At 45.3% G+C, this 25,821-nt stretch overlaps 1 pseudogene; it reads left to right on the forward strand.

Annotated features, from left to right (window-relative positions):
* On the forward strand, nucleotides 1,941-2,626 carry VN2R2P (vomeronasal 2 receptor 2 pseudogene; annotated as a pseudogene).

The following is a 25,821-nucleotide window of genomic DNA, read 5'->3' on the forward strand; positions in this document are numbered from 1 at the left end:
GTGAGCCACCGCACCCGGCCGAGGTCCTTCATTTTTTAGAGCCTCAGCCTTCTTGTCTGTAAATTGGGACACCTGAGGCCTCCTTCACAGGCTTCCCATGAGTATTTGGCGAGAGAGTTAACCTGAAAGCTCAGCACAGTGCCTGCAATGGATTGATTTCTGTAACTTTACATAGAGACCGAGATGTTTAAAGAAGAGAAATCCAAAATAATCAAATCATATTCCTGTAAATAAAGATAAAAAGAAATAGATGTCTTTGGTCTGAAGGGACGAGTTACAGTCAGACTAGGATTCAAGGGCATGAGCCCACGGAGGTGGGTTGTAGGCCCAGAGGAGGAGACAGGAAACAGCAGGCATTAGAAAGAGCTGAGCAGACACTCAGTTTAAGTTGGGCTGCTTTAGTTATGGTCCAAACGCTACTTCTTTTTTCTTTTCTTTTTCTTTTTTTTTTTTTTTTAAGACCGAGTCTCACTCTGTTGCTCAGGCTGGAGTGCGGTCACGCGATCTCGGCTCACTGCAAGCTCGGTCTTCCGAGTAGCTGGGATTACAGGCACCTGCCACCACGCCCAGCTAATTTTTTTATTTTTAATAGAGATGGGGTTTCCCCAGGTTGGCCAGGCTGGTCTCAAACTTCTGACCTCAGGTGATCTGCCTGCCTCGGCCTCCCAAAGTGCTGGGATTACAGGTGTGAGCCACCGTGCCCAGACTCCAGATGCTATTTCTGAACTCATCCCTGTTGTCCTTTCCCGGTTTGGGGAGGTGTGAGATGTGCCCAGCACCGCAGGCCAAGGGATCGCTGGCTGCCCATGGCCACCACCTTCCTGGACTTAGAACCCTTGGGAAGACCTAGCCTGTGCAGCTCTGTCCTTCTCTCTCCTCACAGCCCTGGTTCTGAGGTCTTTGTGAAGCACTGAGACACTCCCATTGTCAAAGTCCACAGCTGGTCTCTCAGCTATTAGATTGGTGCCATTACTTTTAATGGCAAAACTGCAATGACTTTTGCACCAACCTAAATCCATTCTCCTCACCTCATTCCCTTTGTGTCCTCTGCTCCCTGCTCTTCTCTGGGGGTCCTGTTACCTGAAAGGGGTCCCAATCCAGACCCTAAGAGAGGGTTCTTAGATCTCGCACAAGAAAGAATTTGAGGTGAATCCATACCATAAAGTGAAAGCAAGGTTATTAAGAAAGTAAAGGAATTAGGCCTGGAGCAGTGGCTCACGCCTGTAATCCCAGCACTTTGGGAGGCCGAGGCGGGTGGATCACGAGGTCAGGAGATCGAGACCATCCTGGCTAACACGGTGAAACCCCGTCTCTACTGAAAATACAAAAAATTAGCCGGGCGTGGTGGCGGGCGCCTGTAGTCCCAGCTACTCGGGAGGCTGAGGCAGGAGAATGGCGTGAACCCAGCAGGCGGAGCTTGCAGTGAGCCGAGATCACGCCCCTGCACTCCAGGCTGGGCGACAGAGCGAGACTCCGTCTCAAAAAAAAAAAAAAAAAAGTAAAGGAATTAGAAGAATGTCTACTCTAATAGGCAGAGCAGCCCCAAGGGCTGTTGGTTGCCCGTTTTTATAATTATTTCTCGATTATATGCTGAACACGGGGTACATCGTTCATGCCTCCCCTTTTTAGGCGATAGAGGGGAACTTCCCGACGTTGCCACGGCATTTGTAGATTGTCATGGCGCTGGTGGGAGTGGAGCAGCGAGGATGCCCGGAGGTCACTCTCGTCACCATCTTCGTTTTGGTGGGTTTTGCGGCTGTTTTACTGCAGCCTGTTTTATCAACAAGGTCTTTCTGACCTGTATCTTGTGCCGATCTCCTATCTCACCCTGTGACTTAGAACGCCTAACCGTCTGGGAATGCAGCCCAGGAGGCCTCAGCCTTGTTTTACCCAGTCCCTATTCAACATGGAGTCGCTCTGGCTCGGACGCCTCTGACAGTCCTACCACAGCGACCTGCCTCTCCAGACCATCCACCCTTGGAATCATATTCCCAGGAGCTGTTCCCACTATGTCAGAAGATGATCGTTGTGGTTCTGGTCTGTAAAACCGTAAGGCCAGGGAGCAGCATCTGGCAGCTCATAGCACCCAGAGCTTCTAACTCCTGCATTTTCACCTGCTCCCTGGTCCACGTGATGCTCTATGGGGGTGGCTAGTGAACCCTCCTCTCTCCCCAGACGCAGGCCCTTATCTGAGCCTGGACACATCAGCCTGGAGGGCAGTGAGGGGCCAGTCACTGCCTCCTACTGTGTCCTGGCTGCTTCCTGGCTGTGGTCAGCTTTTCTGTCACTTTTGCAGCTGGAAACCTCTGTGATACCTTCTGTGAGGCCAAGTTCCTAATGTTCTGCATGCCCGTGGTCCCACAGTGACCGGGTATCCTTCCTGCTCGCCAACCTGCGCACCAGGGGCAAGGCCATGGGGGTCAGGGAGGTCTCCATGTTGGCCTCCAGCCCGGGGCTGCTGGGATGCGTATTTGCTCCTAAATGCTACGTAACCCTGCTGAGACCAGACCAAAATTTGGTTATAAAGAAGGACGGTTTGAGGAACAGCATATTTTCGGGAGCTTTGACTATGTTTGCACAAATCATGAGCATCTCGGAGAAAAAAGGAGCATTGCTATACTTGTACATCTTGTTTCTATTTAAGATTTATCTATATTCTCTCAGGACGAGAGAATTCTCCTGTCATAACCATCCAGGACACACCAATGCTCATGAGGCTCACCTCAGAACAAAAACATTTGAGACTTGTTGGTGTGCCACGTATCAGGCCATGGATAGTCTTATCATTTCTCTGCCTTGTTCTTTTGTGGGAGCTGCTTATTTCCCTCCGTATCTTTAGACAACAGTCTGGTTGCCTACAGTCCTGAGACATATTTCTCTAATTCCTTCTGTTTGTTGTCTCTAGAGCCCACTAGAGAACACACTGTTAATACCTGAGCCATGCATGCATTCCTTCGGCGCTTCAATACTTTTCTTTTCTTTTTTTTTGAGGCAGAGTCTTGCTCTGTTGCCCAGGCTAGAGTGCAGTGGCGCAATCTCGGCTCACTGCGACCTCCTCCTGAGTTCAAGCAATTATCCTGCCTCAACCTTCCAAGTAGCTGGGATTACAGGCGCACACCACCATGCCCAGCTAATTTTTGTATTTTTAGTAGAGACGAGGTTTCACCGTGTTGGCCAGGCTAGTCTCGAACTCCTGACCTCATGATCCACCCGCCTCAGCCTCCCAAAGTGCTGGGATTATAGGTGTGAGCCCCTGTGCCCTGCTGAGCTTCAGTACTTTTCACTGTGCATTGAACTTAGCAGACTCTTTTCTGCACCCTTTCATATCCCGTCATCAGCCAGGAAACAGCACACTGTTAGGGTGACCAACCATCCCAGCTTGCTTGGGACTGAGGGGTTTCCCAAGACACAGATCTTTCAGTGCTGAAGATGGAACTGTCCCAGGCAAACCAGGATGGCTGGTCACCCTGACAGTGATGTGGATTCAGGCCACGCCTTGAAGCTGGGCAGATGGTGGTGCCAACATATGCATTCTTTGATTTACTTTAGTCCATGTCCTTGGACAGTTCACAAAACACTTCTGAACCTCATTTTGTCTCATTTGCCAAATGGAGGTAATAATAGTCAGTGTGTAGCACTGTTCCGAAGATGAAATGGGCTCATGTGTGTCAAAATACGTCCCTTGATATTTGGTGAGCATTGATTATCTTTGCCTGGTGTCATCTAAATGGGCATGATGAGGTTGAAGTCTTAGGATGCAGACTGATAGTAGACAGAATTGAACATATATTATCCCAATAACCATTTCTTGCTTTTTTTTTTTTCTTGGGACAGTCTCATTCTGTCACCGAGGCTGCAGTGCAGTGGTGCAATCTTGGCTGACCTACAGCCTTGACCTCCTGGGCTCAAGCGATCTTCCCACCTCAGCCTCTGTAGTAGCTGGGACTACAGGCACACATCAATGCACCTGGCTAATTTTTGTATACTTTTGTAGAGACCGAGTCTCCCCATGTTGCCTGGTCTCAAACTTCTGGGCTCAAGGGATCTATCCACCTCACTTCCCAAAGTACCGGGATTACAGGCATGAGCCACTGCACCTGGCCTCATTCCTCACATTTGTGAAATGCTTCATTCTTTACTGAGACCTCTTAGTGGATTAGCCTGTGCCTGCTCATGTGGGAGTCAACCTCAGCTGATGGTGGCCAGTCAACAGGGAGAGAGGGGCCTGGTTAGGACTGGATGAGGCTGGAGATAAGTGGGTCACTCAGATGCCACAGGGGTTAAGCTGAGGGGCTGAGAGGCCGAGGAGTTCAGCTTTGCTGGGAGTGGCCCAGGCACCCCAGGCAGTCCTGACTGTTCTTGAGGAGCAGAATCTGAGCACAGGAGCCAGAAAGGCCTTGGCACCTAGAAGCCTCCCACAGCTGCCACTTGAGTCCACTGCTCCATTCAAGGTCCTCTTCTTGGCCCCAGACCTGGTCCCCATGTTCTCTTTTCCTGTTAAAGTCACTGGGCAGTCCGCTTTTCCTCCCCAGCGTCTACCCCCATTCACTCTCCCCAGTGCTGACTTCAGGGTCCTCCACCATCGCTAACCCTTCTTTGTTTCTAACTTCAAAGATGACTTCTCAGCCCTTGTAGGTTTCAGGCTGATCCTACTGATCATTTTAGATAGCAGCTGAGTGATGGCCATGATCACTAACAGGAGGAAGTTCAAGCACCTCCAGGGCTCTTTCCACGATGACTCCTGACCCCATAGATTGAGAGAGAGAAGCCCTCACTGGGCACCCCTCTTGACTGTCATCCCTACTCACCATCCATGTGACTCCACTGTGGGAACACACATAATGGCCTCACCTTCTGATATCCAGACACAATATAGGGAGAACAATATTAACAGCCATAGTCACTGTTTACTCTTATTGAGGGTTTGGTATATGCCAGACACTAGATAAAAACTTTCCAAGGCTGGGCATGGTGGCTCATGCCTGTAATCCCAGCATTTTGGGAGACTGAGGCAGGCGGATCACCAGGTCAGGACATCAAGACCATCCTGGCCAACATGGTGAAACCCCATCTCTACTAAAATACAAAAAATCAGCCAGACGTGATGGTGCATGCCTGTATTCCCAGCTACTTGGGAGGCTGAGGCAGGGGAATCGTTTGAACTCAGGAGGCAGAGGTTGCAGTGAGCCAAAATCGTGCCACTGCACTCCAACCTGGTGACAGAGCAAGACTCCGTTTGACTTTCTTTGTAGAATTGGAAAAAACTACTTTAAAGTTCATATGGAACCAAAAAAGAACCCGCATTGCCAAGTCAATCCTAAGCCAAAAGAACAAAGCTGGAGGCATCACACTACCTGACTTCAAACTATACTACAAGGCTACAGTAACCAAAACAGCATGGTACTGGTACCAAAACTGAGATATAGACCAATGGAACAGAACAGAGCCCTCAGAAATAATGCCGCATATCTACAACTATCTGATCTTTGACAAACCTGACAAAAACAAGCAATGGGAAAGGATTCCCTATTTAATAAATGGTGCTGGGAAAACTGGCTAGCCATATGTAGAAAGCTGAAACTGGATCCCTTCCTTACACCTTACACGAAAATTAATTCAAGATGGATTAAAGACTTAAATGTTAGACCTAAAACCATAAAAACCCTAGAAGAAAACCTAGGCAACACCATTCAGGACATAGGCATGGGCAAGGACTTCATGTCTAAAGCACCAAAAGCAATGGCAACAAAAGCCAAAATTGACAAATGGGATCTAATTAAACTAAAGAGCTTCTGCACAGCAAAAGAAACCACCAGCAGAGTGAACAGGCAACCTACAGAATGGGAGAAAATTTTTGCAACCTACTCATCTGACAAAGGGCTAATATCCAGAATCTACAATGAACTCCAACAAATTTACAAGAAAAAAACAAACAACCCCATCAAAAAGTGGGCGAAGGATATGAACAGACACTTCTCAAAAGAAGACATTTATGCAGCCAAAAAACACATGAAAAAATGCTCATCATCACTGGCCATCAGAGAAACGCAAATCAAAACCACAATGAGATACCATCTCACACCAGTTAGAATGGCGATCATTAAAAAGTCAGGAAACGACAGGTGCTGGAGAGGATGTGGAGAAATAGGAACACTTTTACACTATTGGTGGCACTGTAAACTATTTCAACCATTGTGGAAGTCAGTGTGGCAATTCCTCAGGGATCTAGAACTAGAAATACCATTTGACCCAGCCATCCCATTACTGGGTATATACCCAAAGGATTATAAATCATGCTGCTATAAAGACACATGCACACGTATGTTTATTGTGGCACTATTCACAATAGCAAAGACTTGGAACCAACCCAAATGTCCAACAATGATAGACTGGATTAAGAAAATGTGGCACATGTACACCATGGAATACTACGCAGCCATAAAAAATGATGAGTTCGTGTCCTTTGGAGGGACATGGATGAAGCTGGAAACCATCATTCTCAGCAAACTATAGCAAGGACAAAAAACCAAATACCACATGTTCTCACTCATAGGTGGGAACTGAACAATGAGAACACTTGGACACAGGAAGGGGAGCATCACACACTGGGGACTGTTGTGGGGTGGGGGGCTAGGGGAGGGACAGCATTAGGAGATATATCTATGTAAATGATGAGTTAATGGGTGCAACACACCAACATGGCACATGTATACATATGTAACAAACCTGCACGTTGTGCACATGTACCCTAAAACTTAAAGTATAATAATAATAATAATAATAAAGAATACCCTGGAAAAAAAAAAAAAACTTTACAAGACACCAGCCAGGAGGAGGGACCTGTAAGTGAACTCACATCTGGGCTACGCATCACTTGAAGGCAAAACTCAAGAGACAAGCTTCAGTAAAAGAAAGTTAGCTTTATGTGATAAGTGGGCAATCCAGGAGGAGGCAGTGATGTGTGTTCAAAGACTCCTTCTTTGAGTTGTGTCTCTAGATCAGTGGTTTTTAAGGGAAGTTAGGGAAGCGCAAATGATGATCAAAGCATTCTTTGCAACAGCAGCTATGCGCGCAGCCCCAGGCAGGCAGTTCATCACTGCTGTCTTGGTGAGTGTCTTGTGACCTTTTGCAGGCACAGCCAGAGTCTTCTTATCTGGTGGTAGAAAACTGCCAGGCAGCCTGCTCCCGGGATTGTTAGCGCATTTCTCTCTCACCTATGCTCAAGGTCCTCTTTTCTTGAGGCTGTTTTTAGTGAATAAGTCTACCAGCTTCAGCAAAGCAGTCATACACTCGAGCAAGGAAAATTCTTCTTTAACATGGAATCGGTGCTGATACAGGCCCACTGCCTGAATGAGGAAAGCTGGGCCCCAGGAGACAAAGTGCCATGTTCCAGATCCCACTGGGACCAAGGAGCTGCAGACGCAGTGACACTCATGCGATGAGGACCTGCCACGTGGGGATGTGGTCACATATATCACAGGGGGCTAAAGGCAGTGAGCAATTCAAGCCCCAGAAAGAAAGCTGGCACGTGCCAGCAACGCAGAGACCTGCAGCAGCTCAGGCACAGGTTAGGAAACTCCAGATCGACTTGCAGGTGCTGGTCTGAGGAGGGAGTTAGAATTCACCCTGCGTGAATATCCCCCATTGCCAGAGAGGGAGCTGGTGGAAGGAGCTGCAGGGGCAGTGATGAGCTGTCATCCCTACTCACCATCCACAGCCACATTCAACGGGCTCTGGGAAGAGGCAGCGACGATTGCTCCGACAGGCTGCCCAACCGCTCTACCTGCCTCCCACCAGTTCTCACACTGCAGTCGGTGCAATCTTTCAACATGTCAGCCTTCAAAAGGAAGGAAATTCTGGCGCAACACGGAGAAGCCTTGAGGACATGATGTTAAGTGAAAAGAACCAGTCACAAAAGAACAAATACCGTATAAGTCCGCTTATATGAGATACCTAGAGCATTCTAACACAGAGCATTCTATAGAAAGCAGAATGGTGGTTGCCAGCGGCTGGGGGCAGGGGGAGCAGGGAGTTGTTTAACAAGTACAGAGTTGCCGTTTTGCAAGAGGAAAACGTTCTGGAGATGGATGGTGCTGATGGTTGTACAACAGTGTGAATATATTTACTGCTGCACTGCATGTACACTGAGAAATGGTGAAGATGATAAGGCTTATAGTCTGCATTTTTTACCACAATACAAATTAATAATAATAATAATAAAATATCACACCCCTGATCCCTCCAGAGGCTCCTCCTCACGCCTAGCAAATCTAAAACTTCTTGCCATGTGTGTTTGTTTCCAAGAGCCGCTGTCACCAAGTTCCACAAACCATGTGGCTTACACAGCAGATATGTGTTGTCTCATGGTCCTGGAGGCTGGAAGTCCGAGATCAAGGTGATGGCAGGGCCGGTTCCTTCTGTGAGAGGGGATTTGCTCCACGCCGCCTGCCTGGCTTCTCGTGGTTTGCTGGCAAGCTTTGGCATTCCTCGGCTTCTAGAGGCAACACCCCAATCTCCACCCTCATCTTCATGTGGTATTCTCCCTATCTCCAACTTCCCCTTTTTATGAGGACACAGTCATAGTGGATGAGGGGCCAACCCTAATGGCCTCATTTTTGTTTGTTTTGTCATAGCCTCCTTTTAATCTGATTACCCCTGTAAAGATCGTATCTCCAAATAAGATCCCATTCTGAGGTATGGAGGGTTAGGACTTTGACACATGGATTTTGGGAAGATACAATTCAACCCATAACACCGTGGCTCTGCAAAATGTGAGCCCTGACAGCCTGTGGCCTCGTTTCTTAGCGTTCTCCCCTCCACTGCAGGGCAGCCACACTTACTTCCTTGCTCATCCGCCAGTGCACCAAGCACTGCTGTCTTCCGGCCTTCGGGAATGTAACTCCTGCAGCTACAGTTGCGCCCTTGTCTTATGGAGTGCCACAGCAATGTAAGAAACATGTAGAGCATCACCCCAACATGAAAATGCCTCTTCCCACTCACTTCTGCTCTCAACTTGGCTGTTCCTGGAGAGCTTCGTAAAGTGTAGGGATTTATCAAATTCTAATTCCATTAGTTTATTCACTTGTTAAACAGTTTCCTCTTTCTCATTCACTGATTCACTCTTCCAACAAATATTTGCTGAATATCTACTTTATTCCACGCAGCCTGCAGGTGCCCGGGACTCACTGGTGATTGACACAAATGTCTCTTCTTCTTCTAGCTAATGTCCTAGCAAGAGAGGCCAAACACAGACAGTGCAAATAAATCGTGAACAAAATGCGTGATGCTAAAAGGTGATAAGGGCTTAGAGAAGAAGAGGAGTGACAAACGGGGTCTAAGAATGTGAGGGGCAGGTTCAGTGACAGCATGGAAATGGGTGGTCAGAGAAGGTCTGTGGGAAGGCAAGAGCTGAGCGAGGATTGAAGACACGGAGCGAGCCACAGAGCCAGCCACGGCGCTGTCTGGAGGACACACATTCCAGGTTGAAAGAATTGTTAGAGCAAAGGCTTTGGCGAGGAACTTTCCCTGGTATGTTGGGGCTGCAGCCCGTGGGGTTAAAGTGGACAAAGGGGAGAGTGGTCAAGGAGCAATTCAAAGGCAACGTGGAACAAATTTTTCGTGTTAGGGCTTTGGTTTCTGCTTGATTTAGGGGAGAATGTGCAGAGCTCTGAGCATGTCACGGAATAGACTAAGGGACAAAGGTAGACACAGGAAAGCCCACTAGGAGACTGTTACAGAGTGCCAGGGAGAAATGACGTGGGTTGAACCAGATGGGGAGCAGTGGATGGGGTGAGAAGAGAAATATCTGGAAGGTCCAGCCGTCATTCCTTCACAGACTGGATGCTTGCGGGAATATCAGAGGGCACGAGTGTTCACAGCCTGAGCAACTGAAAAGGCAGATTTGCCTTCAGCTGGGACAGGAAAGGCTGTGGACAAGAACAGCAGGTCTGCGGGGGAAGACCCTCAGTTTTGCTCTGGACTGAGCTCGAGATGTCTAGACGTCAAAGTGGAGGTGTCACAGGAATTTCTTTTTTTTCAACACCACATTGGAGGTCACAGTAAGAATTTCTGAGCTGAGTTGACAGAGACTTGACATCATGGTCAGCAGTAAGAACAAGAGCAATGACAGTAATAATAGCAGTAACAACAGCCCCAGTCTGCTGTCTTGAGTGGACAGACCACAGAGCTCTCGGGATGGCATGTTCCACCATCCCCAGTGTACACAGAAGGGCTCTGAGGCACAGGGAGGGAAGGGCTGGCTCTAGCTCACCCAACAAGCTAGGGCTGACTGGGGCTAGAATCCAGTTCTTCTGATCCCATATCCATCTCCTGCTTTTTTCTGACACGTAAGATGTTCTTTGATCCAACAGAACAGCCTCCTTTCCCTGAACAGATGCTGTATCTTCCCACTCTGCCAGGAATATCTGCCTGGCATCCCGACTTCCTTCTGACGAAGCCCATTTCAAATGCTGCCTCCTCTTCATGTGGGCATCGTCCACCTCTCTCCTTTCTCCTCTGACTGCTCTGGTCGCTCCCTTGCTCAGCCTCTGTCTCAGATTCCCTGATGCTCCCCGGAGACAGGGCACACATCCGACTCACACCTAGACCCCAAAGTTCCTCTCCTTGTGAACTCACAGCGGGGGCCACTCGGTGAGATTGAGTGGATAAGGGAAGGGGTGAATGCATTCCACACTCAGTAACCATGTTTGTGGCACCCTAGAAGACGCAGATGCAGGATATGCTTATTCATTTATTCATTTGAGACATTCTTAGCCATTGGAAGCACTAACTTCTTAAAAATGTGATAAAAGCTGTGAAATCTTTTGCCAGAAAACTGCACATATATACACACGATTTGCAGATAGATTCGAGGGGGTTATGAATTTCAACCCACCTGCATTCCTTAGACTTCAAATTAAGCATCTCTATTGCTGCGTACCACAGAGCTGGGGATCCGGGCTGGGCTAAAGTATAGCCCCGTCTACACTCTGGGACACCCACTGAGTTGGAGTTCAGTCTGTCTTAGATAAAAATATTCGCAATCACTACACAGCTGCTTCCCACATTTTCTCCCACAGGGCATGTGGAGAGGAGTCTGGCTTAAGTGATCTCCGGGCAGTGAAGAGGAATCTGTTGTCATGAACAATGGTTTCTATCTCACTTGGAGTTCAGGGATTTGTGGACCATCAGAGGCAGATGTGTTTAGGAGTTGTCGGAATTTTAGCACGATGCCTAGACTGTGGTTGTGGCTGATGCCTGCTCTTCTATCATGGATTGGCTGCATTTCAGAAGTGTGTGGACTGGTAAATGACAAATAAGTAAAAACCCTGTTGTTGACAAATTAGAATGGGTTTTCCACTGGTTCATATAGTAACCTGTTGCTATGGCAAAAGAAAAATTCGTTCTTTTGTAGGAGAAAGGAAATTTGTCATTCTCAGAGCTAAGTGGAAATTCATTCTTTTCAGAAAAGCAGAGGGGAATTTCTCACTGTCTCTTGGTGCTTAGGTAAGAAAGGCCTGCGAAGGACAGGGCCTGTGAGAACAAAATGAGAGAGTGGAGCGCCCCAGACGGAATGGGGAATTGAGGCTGTTGATCACAAAAATGCCTTTCCCTGGAAGCATCTGTTATCCAGCGCCAGCTACAGGCTGAGAATCTAAGCCTGGCCTGGGAAGAAGGCCACTATAAGGAGACAGACAATCCAGCCCAGCGTTGAATGTTGCAACGTGATCCCCCTGTAGGGAGATGTGCAGAATTCTGAAGCTGCATGAGTGGAAAGACAAAGAGCTAAGCCACAGTTCTCTCTGAGGCCAAGCAAAAATTCACATATTCCCTAAGCCCCAGAAGACAAAAATGCACTGGGCTCAGGAGGGCCAAATCTAAAGAACAGGATGAAGCAGACACTGACTGAATGTTGCCAGAACTGCAACAAAGATTTGACTCAGCCCAGTCTGTTGTTTAACTCAGATGATCAGATCTCACCCAGTCTACCTTCTGGAAGGTGGACTGGTGGAAGATGAAGACATCTGGGGTTATTACAGTATTTCACGTACAATGCCCAGTGCACTAGTGAATGTTATGGGAATGCAGAGACAGAACCTGTGAATAAAGCCTGGGAGAATAAAAGCAGACTTAGGAGCAGATACACAGGTCATAAAGAGACTTTAAAATAATCATATGTTCAGAAGAATAGAAAAGAATGACAAAATAGATGGAAAGGCAGTAAATTTCAACACAGAATTAGAATTTATATATAGGACTCATATATACATATATGAGTCAAATGGACATTTTTAAAGCTAAAAACACAATATGTATAATTAGGAACTTATTGGAAATAGAACAGGGTATGGCAGAGATTGAAAAGAGAAGAATATGGGACTAATAAATAAGAAAATAAAATGATAGAAAGGGTCCAAACTGAAACACTAAAAGAAAAAAATTAAAATGAAGAGGAGAGTGTAAGATAAATGTGGGACACAATCAAAAGGTTCAATATAAATGTTATTAGAACTCCAGAAAACAAGGAGAACGGGGCAAGGGCGCCAGCAGTAACTAGAGCAGTAAGAAGGGAAATACCCAGCGCCCACCCACACCAGCCTCCCTGTCTCATGGAAAGGGAAAATGAAACACAACAGAGAAGTGTGGTGAAGGTCACAGCCCAGGGGCCACAGGCCCATTCGCAGGCTGAGACCTAATCCTAAGACTTCAGAAGGCTTCCCTACCCCAAGAGTTGACCATCACATCAGTAGGGCTCAGCAGGGGACAACTGAAAACACTGTGTGTCTCAGACATTATGTAGGAAGAGGTCTCTAGAGAAACCCAAAGACAACAGGGGAGGCAAAGCAAGGACACCAGAAGGAATGTTAGCCTCTGATGCCTGCAGCATAGTAAATGCAACCTAGGTCTTAGCCAGATAAACACAAAACCTCACAGCGAAGGCCTACTTACCTCGGTTCCTTTAACCCAGGACAAAATGTCTGGCTGTTAACAAAAAATTACAGAGCATATTAAAAGACAAAAGCACAGTTTTAAGAGACAAAGCAAGCATCAGACCAGACTCAGATATGGCAGAGGTTGGAGTCATTAGATTGTCATCTTAAAATTATAATTGGCCCAGGTGCAGTGGCTCACACCTATAATCCCAGCATTTTGGGAGGCTGAGGCAGGTCGATCACCTGAGGTCAAGAGTTCAAGATCAGCCTGGCCAACATGGCGAAACCCTGTCTCTACTAAAAAATACAAAAAGTTAGCCAGGCGTGGCGGTGGGCACCTGTAATCCCAGTGACTCTGGAGGCTGAGGCAGGAGAATCGCTTGAACCCAGGAGGCAGAGGTTACAATGAGCCGAGATCATGCCACTGCACTCCAGCCTGGGCAACAGAGACAGACGCCATCTCAAAAAAACAAAAAACAAACCTATAATATGCCAACAGCTCTAGTGGAAAAAGTAGACAAGATGTGAGAACACATATGTGTTGGGGTGATCAGACCCAACACCAGGTCGTGGGGGCGACGAAGCCTGGTGGAGTCAAAGGATTGACAAAAAGACAGTCTATGAGAGAGAGAAGTGGGACCACAGGGCCATCACTAGTGTATGGAGGCTGCGAAGGCCCTGAGCGCTGGGACCCCACGCTACTTATTGGTAATCCAACAAAGAAACAGGTGGTGAGAATGTGGAGGTCAAAAGGGCGCGTTGCATCGAGCACATGATTTACATGATTTACAGCTGTGATGGTTTAGCATTTGCTCTGCTACTTGTGATCATGGAGAGCAGGTTCTTTTAATTCAAGATACAATCGATCCTGGGAGAGCAAAGAGCAAGGAGCCAGCAAGTCTAGACACATTCTAGAGCCACGAGACCTGGACTGTATCCAAGCCATGAGGGGTTTTATGCCCTGGGCTTAGACTACGGTGTGACAGGGCAGCCTTCCACCCTTTAGCACAGAACTGGGTGTTCCAAAGGCCACAAGAGGTTTTAGACCCTGGCCCCCGGACATGTTCCAAGACTCTTTTACATTATGTCAGACATGCAAGCCCTGCCTCAGCTTCTCCCAACACTCAGCTTTTCCCAACACATATGTAATATAAGCAGAGAGATGGAAACTTTAAGAAAAAATCAAAAGGAAATGCTGGAAATAAAAAGAAAAACTCACTATAATTGAAATGGAGAATGCCTTTGATGGCTTACCAAAAGATTAGACATGACTGAGAACAGAATCAGTGCACCTGGAGGAATGCAAAGAGGAAGAAGGAATGGAAAAGACAGAGCCTATCTAAGAACTGTGGGACAATGAGAAAACATGTAAAAAATGGACATACAAGAAGGGGAAGAATGAAAGGAATTTCAAAGATTCTTTTCTAACCAAAGCATTTATGGCTATAAATTCCCCTCCAAGCTCTGTCTTAGCTTCATTCTACAAAATGCTTCTAATTTTGTGTGATTTCTTCTTTGACTCATGGAATATTTTGAAGTATATTCTTTAATTTTCAAATATTTGGGGTTTTCCTAGATAACCCTTTGTTTTTTATTTTAATTGAATAATGTCTAGTCGGAGGCATATTCTGTAGGATTTCAATCTTTTGAAATCTGTTAAGGCTGGGCACCTTGGCTCACACCTGTAATCCCAGCACTTTGGGGTGCAAGGCGGGAGGATTGCCTGAGGCCAGGAGTTCGAGACCAGCCTGGCCAACATGGTGAAACTGTCTCTACTAACAATACAAAAAATTAGCCAGGCGTGGTGGGCGCCTGTAATCCCAGATACTTGGGAGGCTGAGGCAGGAGAATCACTCGAACCCGGGAAGTGGAGGTTGCAGCGAGCTGAGATCTCTTCTCCTCTTATAAGGAGCCATACTGAATTAAGGGCCCGCCCTACTCCAGTATGATCCGGTCTTAATTAATGACATGATTTCCAAGTAAGTTCACATTCTGAGGTACTGGGGTGGCAGGGCATTTGGGGCGGGGTGCGGGGTAGGGACACACTTCAACTCAAAACACTTGCTAAACTCATTTATAGTTCTAATGTTTTCGGGTGGATTCCTTAGGATTTCTATATACATGATCATGTTGTCTGTAAATAAAGGTAGTTTTACTTCTTCCTTTTCTTTTTAAATATTTTTTTTCTCACTTGATTCACTGGCTAGAAGTTTTAGTACAATGTTGCATAAAAGTGGTAAGAACAGATACTTTTCCTCACGAGGAAGGAATTGTCTTTCATCATTCAGTATGATATCAGCTGCTGGTTTTTTGGTATATGTCCCCTTTTAAGTTAAAGAAGTTCTCTTCTTTTTTTATTTATTTTATTTTATTTTATTTTTTTGAGACGGAGTCTCGCTCTGTCGCCCAGGCTGGAGTGCAGTGGCGAGATCTCGGCTCACTGCAAGCTCTGCCTCCTGGGTTCAAGCGATTCTCCTGCCTCAGCCTCCCAAGTAGCTGGGACTACAGGCTAATTTTTTGTATTTTTAGTAGCGACGGGGTTTCACCGTGTTGGCCAGGATGGACTCGATCTCCTGACCTCGTGATCCGCCTGCCTCGGCCTCCCAAAGTGCTGGGATTACAGGCGTGAGCCACCGCGCCTGGCCAATAAGTTCTCTTCTATTCTTGATTTGTTTAGAGTTTTTAATTATAAATGGCTGTTGGATTTTGTCCATTATTTTCCTGTTTTTATTAAGATGATCATGGGTTTATTTTCTTTATTCCATTAATATGATACATTACATTAATTGATGTTTGAGGGTTAAGCCCACCTTGTATACAAGGGATAAATTTCAGTTGGTCACGGTGAATCACCCTCTTTATATGTTGGTAGGTTCCGGTTGATAGTATTTTGTTGAGAATTTTTGTAGATTCATGAGGGATATTAATCTTTAGCATAGTTTTCTTGTGATGTCTTTGTCTGGCTTTGTACTAGGTAGTACTGGTCTCATAGAACAAGTTGACACATGTTCTGTTCTTTGTTTTCTGGACAGGTTTGCAAAGGGATTGATATTTTTTCTTCAGACGTTTGGCAGAATTTGCAAGTGAAGCCATTCAACTTGGATTTTCCTTTGCAGGGAGAGATTTAAAAATATTTATTTTTTTAAAGTAATTGTAGATGCAGAAGAATTTGCAATAATAAATAGATGTCTCTGTGTCCTTCATCCGGCTTCCCTCAATGGTGACATTTTTATATTACTGTAGTGCAAAACCAATTTGGGAAATTGATGTTGGTACAATACTGTTAACTATATGACATCTTATCCAGTTTTTCTCTCTCCCTCAGTCCCTGTCCTGTGGCAACCACTCATCTGTTCTCCGTCTCTACAGCTCCTCATTTTGAGAATGTTATATAAATAGACTCGTACACTTTGTAACCTTTTCAGCTTGACTCTTTTCAGTAAGTACAATGCCTTGAGATTCACCCAGGTTGGTGATTACATCAATAGTTCATTCCATTTTATCGCTAAGAAGTATTCTCCTCTATGGTTGTGCCAGAGTTTGTTTAACCATTCACACACACATTGAAGGACTTCAAGTTATTTCATTTTTTTTAAACAAACAAAGCTGCCATCAACATTTGTGTACAAGTTTTATGTGAACACAAGTTGTCATCTCTCACAAAGAAACGCCCAACAGTGTGATTGCTGGGTTGTATAGGAAATACATGTTTCGTTTTATAAGGAACTGCCAAACTATTTTTCTAGAGTGGCTGCACCTTTTTTTTTTTTTTTTTTGAGACGGAGCCTCGCTCTGTCACCAGGCTGGAGTGCAGTGGCGCGATCTCGGCTCACTGCAAGCTCCAACTCCCTGGTTCAAGTGATTCTCCTGCCTCAGCCTCCCGAGTAGCTGGGATTACAGGCACGTGCCACCACACCCAGCTAATTTTTGTATTTCTAGTAGAGACGGGGCTCACCATGTTGGCCAGGATGGTCTTGATCTTCTGACCTCATGATCCACCCGCCTCAGCCTCCCAAAGTGCTGGGGTTACAGGCGTGAGCCACCGCACCCGGCCTGGCTGCACCATTTTACTTTCCCAACGGGTGTGTACTAGAGATCCAACTTTTCCACATCCTCGCCAGCATTTGGTGTTTTGTTTTTTAATTTTAGTTTATTGTGATAAGTGTGTAGTAATATCTCATTGTGGTTTCAATTTGCATTTCCCAAATGCCCAATGATATTCAACATATTTTAATGTGCTTATTTGCTATCTGTACTTAATTTTTTTATTTTTTCTTCTTTGAAAGGCTCCTGTTAAAGCAAACTAAATATGGCCTGAGAAGGACTCCATATCTCTATATTTGAGTCCTTGTGGACAAACTGTAACCTAGCTTAATAGGCAGACAAGATTGCAAACCTAACTTGGGAGTATGCTCCTGTAACAGTAGCTGGGTCTTGGCCAATCCCAGAGGTCATACTTCAAACACTCATAGATTGCTAAGTGTTCAAACAAGGCAAATGCTAACCTGTAACCAATCCTGTTGTTTCTGTACCTCACTGCTGATTTCTAAGTGTTCAAACAAGGCAAACGCCAGCCTGTAACCAATCCTGTTGTTTCTGTAGCTCACTGCCGGCTTCTGTATAGCACTTCTCTTTTTTTTTTGTCTATAAATTTGTTCTGACCACAAGGCATCCCTGGAGTCTCTCTGAATCTGCTGTGATTCTGGGGCTGCCTGATTCACAAATTGTTCATTGCTCAATTAAACTTCTTTAAATTAATTTGGCTGAAGCTTTTCTTTTAACACCCCATACTTACCCATCACTGGGGCCTTCCCTCACTTGCCCTGAACTAGCACGACTTAGTGTATACACATCTTTCCAGACCCTCGGGGTAAGTTGGATCTGAAACGTCCCTCCTTGGCTGTCTCGTCCACTGGCTATCCCTGTTAAATTCCTGGTTGGCCTGCCATTTGGATGCTTGTCCCAACCAATATCTTGACCTCAGGATAGCTGCAATATTGGCTTTATGTGACTGTTTGCCACTAAGATCCCTATTGTTTTTTACAACACCCTTGGGCATTGAATTTTCCATGCTCTGCTATGGACAGACAGGAGAGCTCCCGATCCTTAGGACCTGGCCTGCGGCTGGATAGAACATCCATACCACAGGGGAAGGGGAGCAGTGATTGGAGAACTCCTAGACTCTCTATCTTCTGACCAAACGTCAGTAGATTTTCTTGAGTAAATGATTCTCAATTTGTTGTTCCCCTTTGGTACATTTTCAGCATTTAAATAGCTGTTTTTGCCAATTTTATCTAGTTATATTGTTGCTTCTTGTGGAGATGATTGGTGGGGCTCCTAACTCAGCCATTTCAGAAGTTCGTCTCTCGACCTTCTCCATTTTCATCATGTGTTTTGAAGCTCTGTTATTAGATGGATACATATTTATGACTGATACGTCTTCCTAGTCAACTGATCCTCTTATAATTATAAAATATTTGTCTTTAACAACATATTTTATCTGAAAGTCCCTTTTTTTTTTTTTTTGAGACAGAGTCTCACTCTCTCTTGCCCAGGCTGGAGTGCAGTGGTGTGATCTCTGCTCACCGCAACCTCCACCTCCCGGGTTCAAGCAATTCTCCTGCCTCAGCTTCCTGAGTAGCTGGGATTATAGGCAGGCGCCACCACGACCGGCTAATTTTTGTATTTTTAGTAGAGATGGGCTTTCACCATATTGGCCAGGCTGGTCTCGAACTCCTAACCTCAGGTGATCCACCTGCCTCAGCCTCCCAAAGTGCTGGGATGACAGGCATGAGCCACTGTGCCCAGCCCTTAAAATTTATTTGATATTAGTATTAGGTATATTATGCTTATGTTTGTTTTTTGAGACAGGGTCTTACTCTGTCAGCTGGAGTGCAGTGGCACCATCTCGGCTCACTGCAGCTTCGACCTCCCATGCTCAAGCGATCCTCCCACTTCAGCCTCCCAAGTAGCTGGGATTACAGGCACTACCACCACGCCCAGCTAATCTTGGTATTTTTTGTAGAGACAAGGTTTCACCATGTTGTCCAGGCTGAAGTGCCATGACTATTTACAGGTATGGGTATTGCACACTACGACCTCAAACTCCTGGGCTCAAGCAATGCCCCCACCTCAGCATCCTGAGTAGCTAGGACCAGAGCCATGTACCACCACGCCCAGCTAATGTTTTAAAATTTTTTGTAGAGATGGGGTCTTACTTTGTTGCCCAGGTGGGTCTTAAACTCCTGGGCTCAAGCGATCCTCCCATCTCAACTTCCCAAAGTGCTGGGGTTACAGTCTGAGTCACCACGCCTGCCTATATGCTATGTTTATATGGTTTATAGATTTCCTTCCATTTACTTTCAAATATCTATGCCTATGTTTAAAGCAGATTTCTTATAGACATCTAATGGTTGAGTCTTTCCTTTTTCACTCATTACTGCAATCTGTGCCTACTGATTAGAACGTTTAGTATAACTGTTGACATTATGCCACCTTCACATCATAGGTAGAGACCCTACAGCTCTATAGTTCCATTGACCACCATCCTTTATAACATAGTTATTATAAATACCACAGTTGGCCAGGTGCGGTGGCTCATGCTTGTCATCCCAGCACTTTGGGAGATCGAGGTGGGTGGGTCACCTGAGGTCAAGAGTTCGAGACCACCAGCCTGGCCAACATGGTGAAACCCCAGCTCTACTAAAAATACAAAAAATTAGCCAGGCATGGTGGTGCATGCCTGTGGTCCCAGCTACTCAGGAGGCTGAGGCAGGAGAATTGCTTGAATTGGGGAGGCAGAGGTTACAGTGAGCCAAGATCACGCCACTGTACCCCAGCCTGGGCAACAAAGCAAGACTCTGTCTCAAAAAAAAAAAAAAATTACCACAGTTACATGTATAACCACAATACAATACCATACTTTTTTATTTATATAAATTTTGGATAAACTAAGAGAACAATTTAAAAATATCTACTCATAGATTTACCGTTTTGTTGTGCTTTGTTGCATCTACTTTCATTTTCCTTAAAATATCTCCTTCAGCATTTATTTATTTATTTATTTATTTTTTGAGACGGAGTCTCGCTCTGTCGCCCAGGCTGGAGTGCAGTGGCGTGATCTCGGCTCACTGCAAGCTCTGCCTCCCGGGTTCACGCCATTCTCCTGCCTCAGCCTCCCGAGTAGCTGGGACTACAGGCGCCCACCACCACACCTGGCTAATTTTTTTGTATTTTTAGTAGAGATGGAGTTTCACCATGTTAGCTAGGATGGTCTCGATCTCCTGACCTCGTGATCCACCCGCCTCGGCCTCCCAAAGTGCTGAGATTACAGGTGTGAGCCAACACGCCCAGCCTCCTTTAGCATTTATTACAATGCAGCTCTACTGGCAAGAAATCATCTTTGTTTTCTTTTACCTGAAAGTATTTTTATTTTCTCTTCAGTTTGGAAGAATAATTGTACTAGATATAGAATGCTGATTGACAGTTTTGCTCTTTTAAAGAGGTCTACCCAACTCTTCTGCCCTCTGATAAAGAACTGTCAGTGGTAATTTTCATTTATTGTTTCCTTGTATGACATGTGCCATTTCCCTCTGGCTGATTTCAACATTTTGTCTTTATCTTTGGTTTGTAGTAGGTTGACTATTATGTGCCTAAGTGAGGTTTCCTTTAATCCTGTAATGTGATTCTCTAAATTTATGGCTTTCATTCATTGAAAAATCTAGGGACATTGTTTCATTTCGTTTCTAAAAAATTGTACTAAGAAGGCCAGGCATGGGGCTTATGCCTGTAATCCCAGCACTTTGGGAGGCTGAGGCGGGTGGATCGCCTGAGCTCAGAAGTTCGAGACCAGCCTGTGCAATATGGCGAAACTCCATCTCTACCAAAAATACCAAAAAAAACAAAAAAAAAAAAAGAAGAAGAAGTAGAAGAAGAAAGAAAAAATTAGCCAGGCCCGGTGGCATGCACTTCTGGTCCCAGCTACTCCGAAGGGCTGAGGCGGGAGGATCACTTGAGCCTGGGACAGAGCAAGACTCCATCTCAAAAAAAATAAAACATAAAAAGGCCGGGTGCCATGGCTCATGCCTGTAATCCCAGCACTTTGGGAGGCCGAGGCGGGTGGATCACCTGAGGTCAGGATTTCGAGACCAGCCTGGCCAACCTGGCAAAACACTGTTTCTACTAAAAATACAAAATTTAGCTGGCATGGTGGCAGACGCCTGTAATCCCATCTACTCAAGAGGCTGAGGCAGGAGAATCGCTTGAACCCGGGAGGCGGGAGGCGGAGGTTTTGGTGAGCCGAGATCGCACCATTTGCCCTCCAGCCTGGGCAACAAGAGCAAAACTCTGTCCCCTCAAAAAAAAAAAAGTAGTAAGAACATTTAACATGAAATCTATCTTCCTGACAAATGTTTAAGCCCACAACACAGTATTGTCAATATAGGCACGGTGTCGTGCAGCAGCTGTCTAGAGCATACTCATCTGGCATAACCGAAACTGTACACCTGCTGAGCAGTACACCTCCATTTACGCCGCCCCCCAGCCCCTGACAACCGCCATTCTACCCTCTGTCTCTATGAGTTTAGCCTTTTTTTTTCCCAAGACGGAGTCTTGCTCTGTCACCCAGGCTGGAGTGCAGTGGCGTGATCTCGGCCCACTGCAACCTCCATCTCCTGGGTTCAAGCGATTCTCCAGCCTCAGCCTCCTGAGTAGCTGGGACTACACGCACCTGCCATTACGCCCAGCTAATTTTTGTATTTTTAGTAGAGACGGGATTTTACCATGTTGGTCAGGTTGGTCTTGAACTCCTGACCTCAAATGATCCACTTGCCTCGGCCTCCCAGAGTGCTGCAATTACAGGCACGAGCCACTGCACCCAGCCTAATTTTTGTATTTTTAGTAGAGATGAGGTTTCACCATGTTGGCCAGGCTGGTCCCAAACTCCTGACCTTGTGATCTGCCTGCCTCAGCCTCCCAAAGTGCTGGGATTACAGGCGGGAGCCGCCGCACCCGGCCGAGTTTAACTATTTTAGATATATCACACAAGTGGAATCACGCAGTATTTGTCCTCTTTGACTGTCTTATTTCACCGGAAAACAGTATGAGTTTACTAAGAAAATTAAAAATAGAACTACCATATGATCCAACAATCCTACTTCTGGGTATATGCGAAAGAATCGAAATCAGAATCTTGAAGCGATATCTGCATTCTCATGTTTATTGCAGCATTACTCACGACAGCCAAGATATGGAACAACCTAAGTATTCCAAATCCACAGATAAAGAAAATGCGGTGTATACCTAAAATGGAATAGTATTCAGCCTCTGAAAAGACAAGTGCAGCTGGGTGCGGTGGCTCACACCCGTAATCCCAGCACGTTGGGAGGCTGAGATGGGTGGATCATGAGGTCGGGAGTTCGAGACCAGCCTGGCCTAGATGGTGAAACCCTGTCTCTACTAAAAATACAAAAATTAGCTTGGCATGGTGGTGGGCACATGTAATTCCAACTACTTGGGTGGCTGAAGCCGAGAATTGCTTGAACTGGGGAAGCAGAGGTTGCAGTGAGCCAAGATCACGCCACTGCACTCCAGCCTGGGCGACAGGGTTAGATTCCCTCTCAAAAAAAAAAAAAAGAGTGCATTATTTCTTAAAATTTTTTTTTCTTCTCTCCTCCTAACCCACCAGTTACACAGATTTTTAAACTCTATGTTTTCCACAGAGCCCTTTCTTTCTTTCCCACTATCCTTCAGACAAGCATTTCCTTGGATCTGTCTTCAAATTTACTGACACTTTCTTCTGTCATCTCCAATCTGTAGTGAAGCCCATCCAGTGAAGTTTTCTTTCAGATACTGCATTTTTTTTTTTTTTTTGAGATGGAGTCTCACTCTGTCGCCCAGGCTGGAGTGCAGTGGCACAATCAATCTCGGCTCACTGCAACCTCCGTCTCTTGGGTTCAAGCAACTCTCCTGCCTCAGCCTCTTGAGTAGCTGGGATTACAGGCAAGCACCACCACGCCCAGCTAATGTTTGTATTTTTAGTAGAGAGGGGTTTCACCACGTTAGCCAGGCTGGTCTCGAACTCCTTACCTCAGGTGATCCACCCACCTCGGCCTCTCAAAGTGCTGGGATTACAGGCCTGAGCCACCACGCCCGGCCAGATAGTATATTTTTAAAGTCAAACATTGTTTCATTTTCACACTGGTTTCTTTTTCTCTGTTGAGATATTCTAGTTTTTCATTTGTTCACAAGCATGTTTTTATTTACTTTCTTAATCCTAGTTATCATACCTACTTAAAAATTCTTATCTGCTACTCCATCATCTGGATAATTTAAAAATTTTTGATCTTTTTTTCTTTAGAATAGGTCATGTTTTTCTGTTTTATATTTCAATAATTGTTTTTAAATTTACCCTTGACATTGTGAATAATAGATTGTGATTCAGTTAAGGGTAAGGGAGTGGGGGAGTAACACCAGATTGGATTTCGTCTAAGGGAAGGTAAGAGCACATATATATAAGAAAGAAAATCTAGAAAATTCTTTAAAGACTTTTTTTCTTTTTTTCAAAATAGAGTAAATGAAGTGTTAGCTGGAGGGTAAAGTGAAGTCTGGGGAAAATTTTTAAGTTGGAAATATTAGAACACATTTATAATGGGAATGAATCAATAGAGAGGAAAAAGTTGGACAAGGTAGAAGAGAGAGGTAAAATTCACTAGGTCAGAGTATCTGAGTGGGATAGAGGGATGGGAACTATCGCACCTGTGGCCTTAGATAAGAGAGTGAATGGCAGCTCTGTTCCACCACATTTTCTGTGACGATAAAAACATTTTGTATATGTGCTGCCTGATATGGCAACCACGAGCCAGCTGTGGCGATTAAGCAGTTGAAATGTGGCCAGTGCAACTTAATACATGAATTTTAAATTTTATAAAATGTAATTAATTTAAATTTGCAGCTAGTGGTTACTGTACAGAAGAGCACAGATCTGTGGTAACAGGAAGGATGAGGATGTGGGTACTTGTGTCCATGTGGTAATAGGAGCTGTAGAAATTCTGTTTTGTTCTCTTTTCATTTCTTCCCTTTTTCACTGAAGTAGAAAACACTGTTATCAAGTGAGTCCAAATCCAGTAAAGAAGTGTGGAGGGACTGAAGAGAAAGAAGTCGTCAAGATCGTCTCTTGGAATAGTAAATGGTTGAAAGATTTCATCCATTTTATTGCCTTGATTAGGTTATGCTCATCAGATCCCCCAAATCTCAAAGCTAAGATTCATTGCTCATTTTCCATGTCAGCTAGTATTAATACTTTGAGGTTAAGAAACTTCTGAGGGATTACAGACCTAGCTTCTTTCCAGTGAATCATTTTGTCCATCTTAATGATTGTGGTTTAGCCTTTTTCGTGCAAAGATTTTCAGCTTTATCTTACATAGTTGAGAAACATATTATACAATGAGAAACATTTGAATCTTTCACACTTGCCAGTCCTAGATTATTTGGGTCTTCTCATTTCTTTTTAATCCCTGCTTGCTAAATTTTTTTGGATTCATCTTTCCTTCAGAGTTCCTTGTCAAATGCAGAACCAACTAATAAATAAACCACACAAGGCCAGGCTTGGTGGCTCACGCCTATAATCCTAGCACTTTGGGAGGCCGAGGCGGGCAGATCACCTGAGGTCAGCAGTCCAAGACCAGCCTGGCCAACATGGTGAAACCCCATCTCCACTAAAAATACAAAAAATTAGCCAGGCATGGTGACGCACACATGTAGTCCCAGCTACTTGGGAGGCTGAGGCAGGAGAATGACTTGAACTTGAACCAGGGAGGCGGAGGGTACAGTGACCCTAGATGGTGCCTCTGCACTCCAGCCTGGGCAATGAAGCCAGACTCTGTCTCAAAAATAAATAAATAAATAAATAAATAAACAAATAAATAAACCACACCAGTAATCATGTATTTCTCAGCCTCTTTACTTAAAGCTAACTTTTTAGGTCCATGCCTTCTATAATATTGCAGGATACAGTTTTACAAAAAGGTTTCCCACTACACGACATGGGTTGTCAACTTGATATCATCCAATAGGTTTCTTAGCCACCTGCTGTCTGGACCCAAAGGCAATGCCTTATGTTTGCATATTACTGCATGCAAGTTCTATCAGTTAGCTTTGCGGCAATCACAAACGGTCCCGAGTCTAAGCAGCTTACGTTAGACAGGTTTTATTTCTCTTACCTGCTACTTGTGAGCTGCAGCTCCGTTCCTGTGTAACACACATGTCTTCTTTACCCCAGTCTGAGGTATTCCAGTACCTGCGCTGAATGAGCAAACTGTCATTCTCTGGCAGAGAGAAAGCAGCAACGGCGTTGGCTCTTAAAGCTTCTCTTCAGAAGTAGTGACTATAACATCTGCTTACTAGTCATTGGGCAAACCAAGTCTCGTGGCCAAACTCAAAGCCAATGGGTCGGGGATGCATACTTCTCCCTCCTTGGGAGTCTGCAAGTCGGTGACGGAGGGGAGCCAGCAGAAGCTCTCCACGCCCTATCATTTAGGATTTCTATGACAGCTTCATTATATTGGCAGGATTGATTAAATCATTGGTTGTTGGTAATTAACTCTGCTCCCTGGAGATTGGGGAATGGGCCAAAAAGTTCCAAATCTCTAATCACCAGGTTGGTTCCCTTGGCAATCAGCCCCTGTCCTGAGGCCGTCCAGGAGCCCCAAGCCACCCGTCATGTCATTAGCATACAAAATTGCTTTGGAGATTCCGAGGGCTTTAGAAGTTGTGCGTCAGGACACTGGGGCAGAGGCCACATATATATTTTCTTACTATATGCATGTAGTTGAAAGTTTCTCTTTCCAAGAATACCCAGTCCATTTACATTTAGTTAATTATCTACATAGGC

Source organism: Homo sapiens, chromosome 5 (assembly GCF_000001405.40).
Source record: "Homo sapiens chromosome 5, GRCh38.p14 Primary Assembly".
NCBI classification, from domain to species: Eukaryota; Metazoa; Chordata; class Mammalia; order Primates; family Hominidae; genus Homo; species Homo sapiens.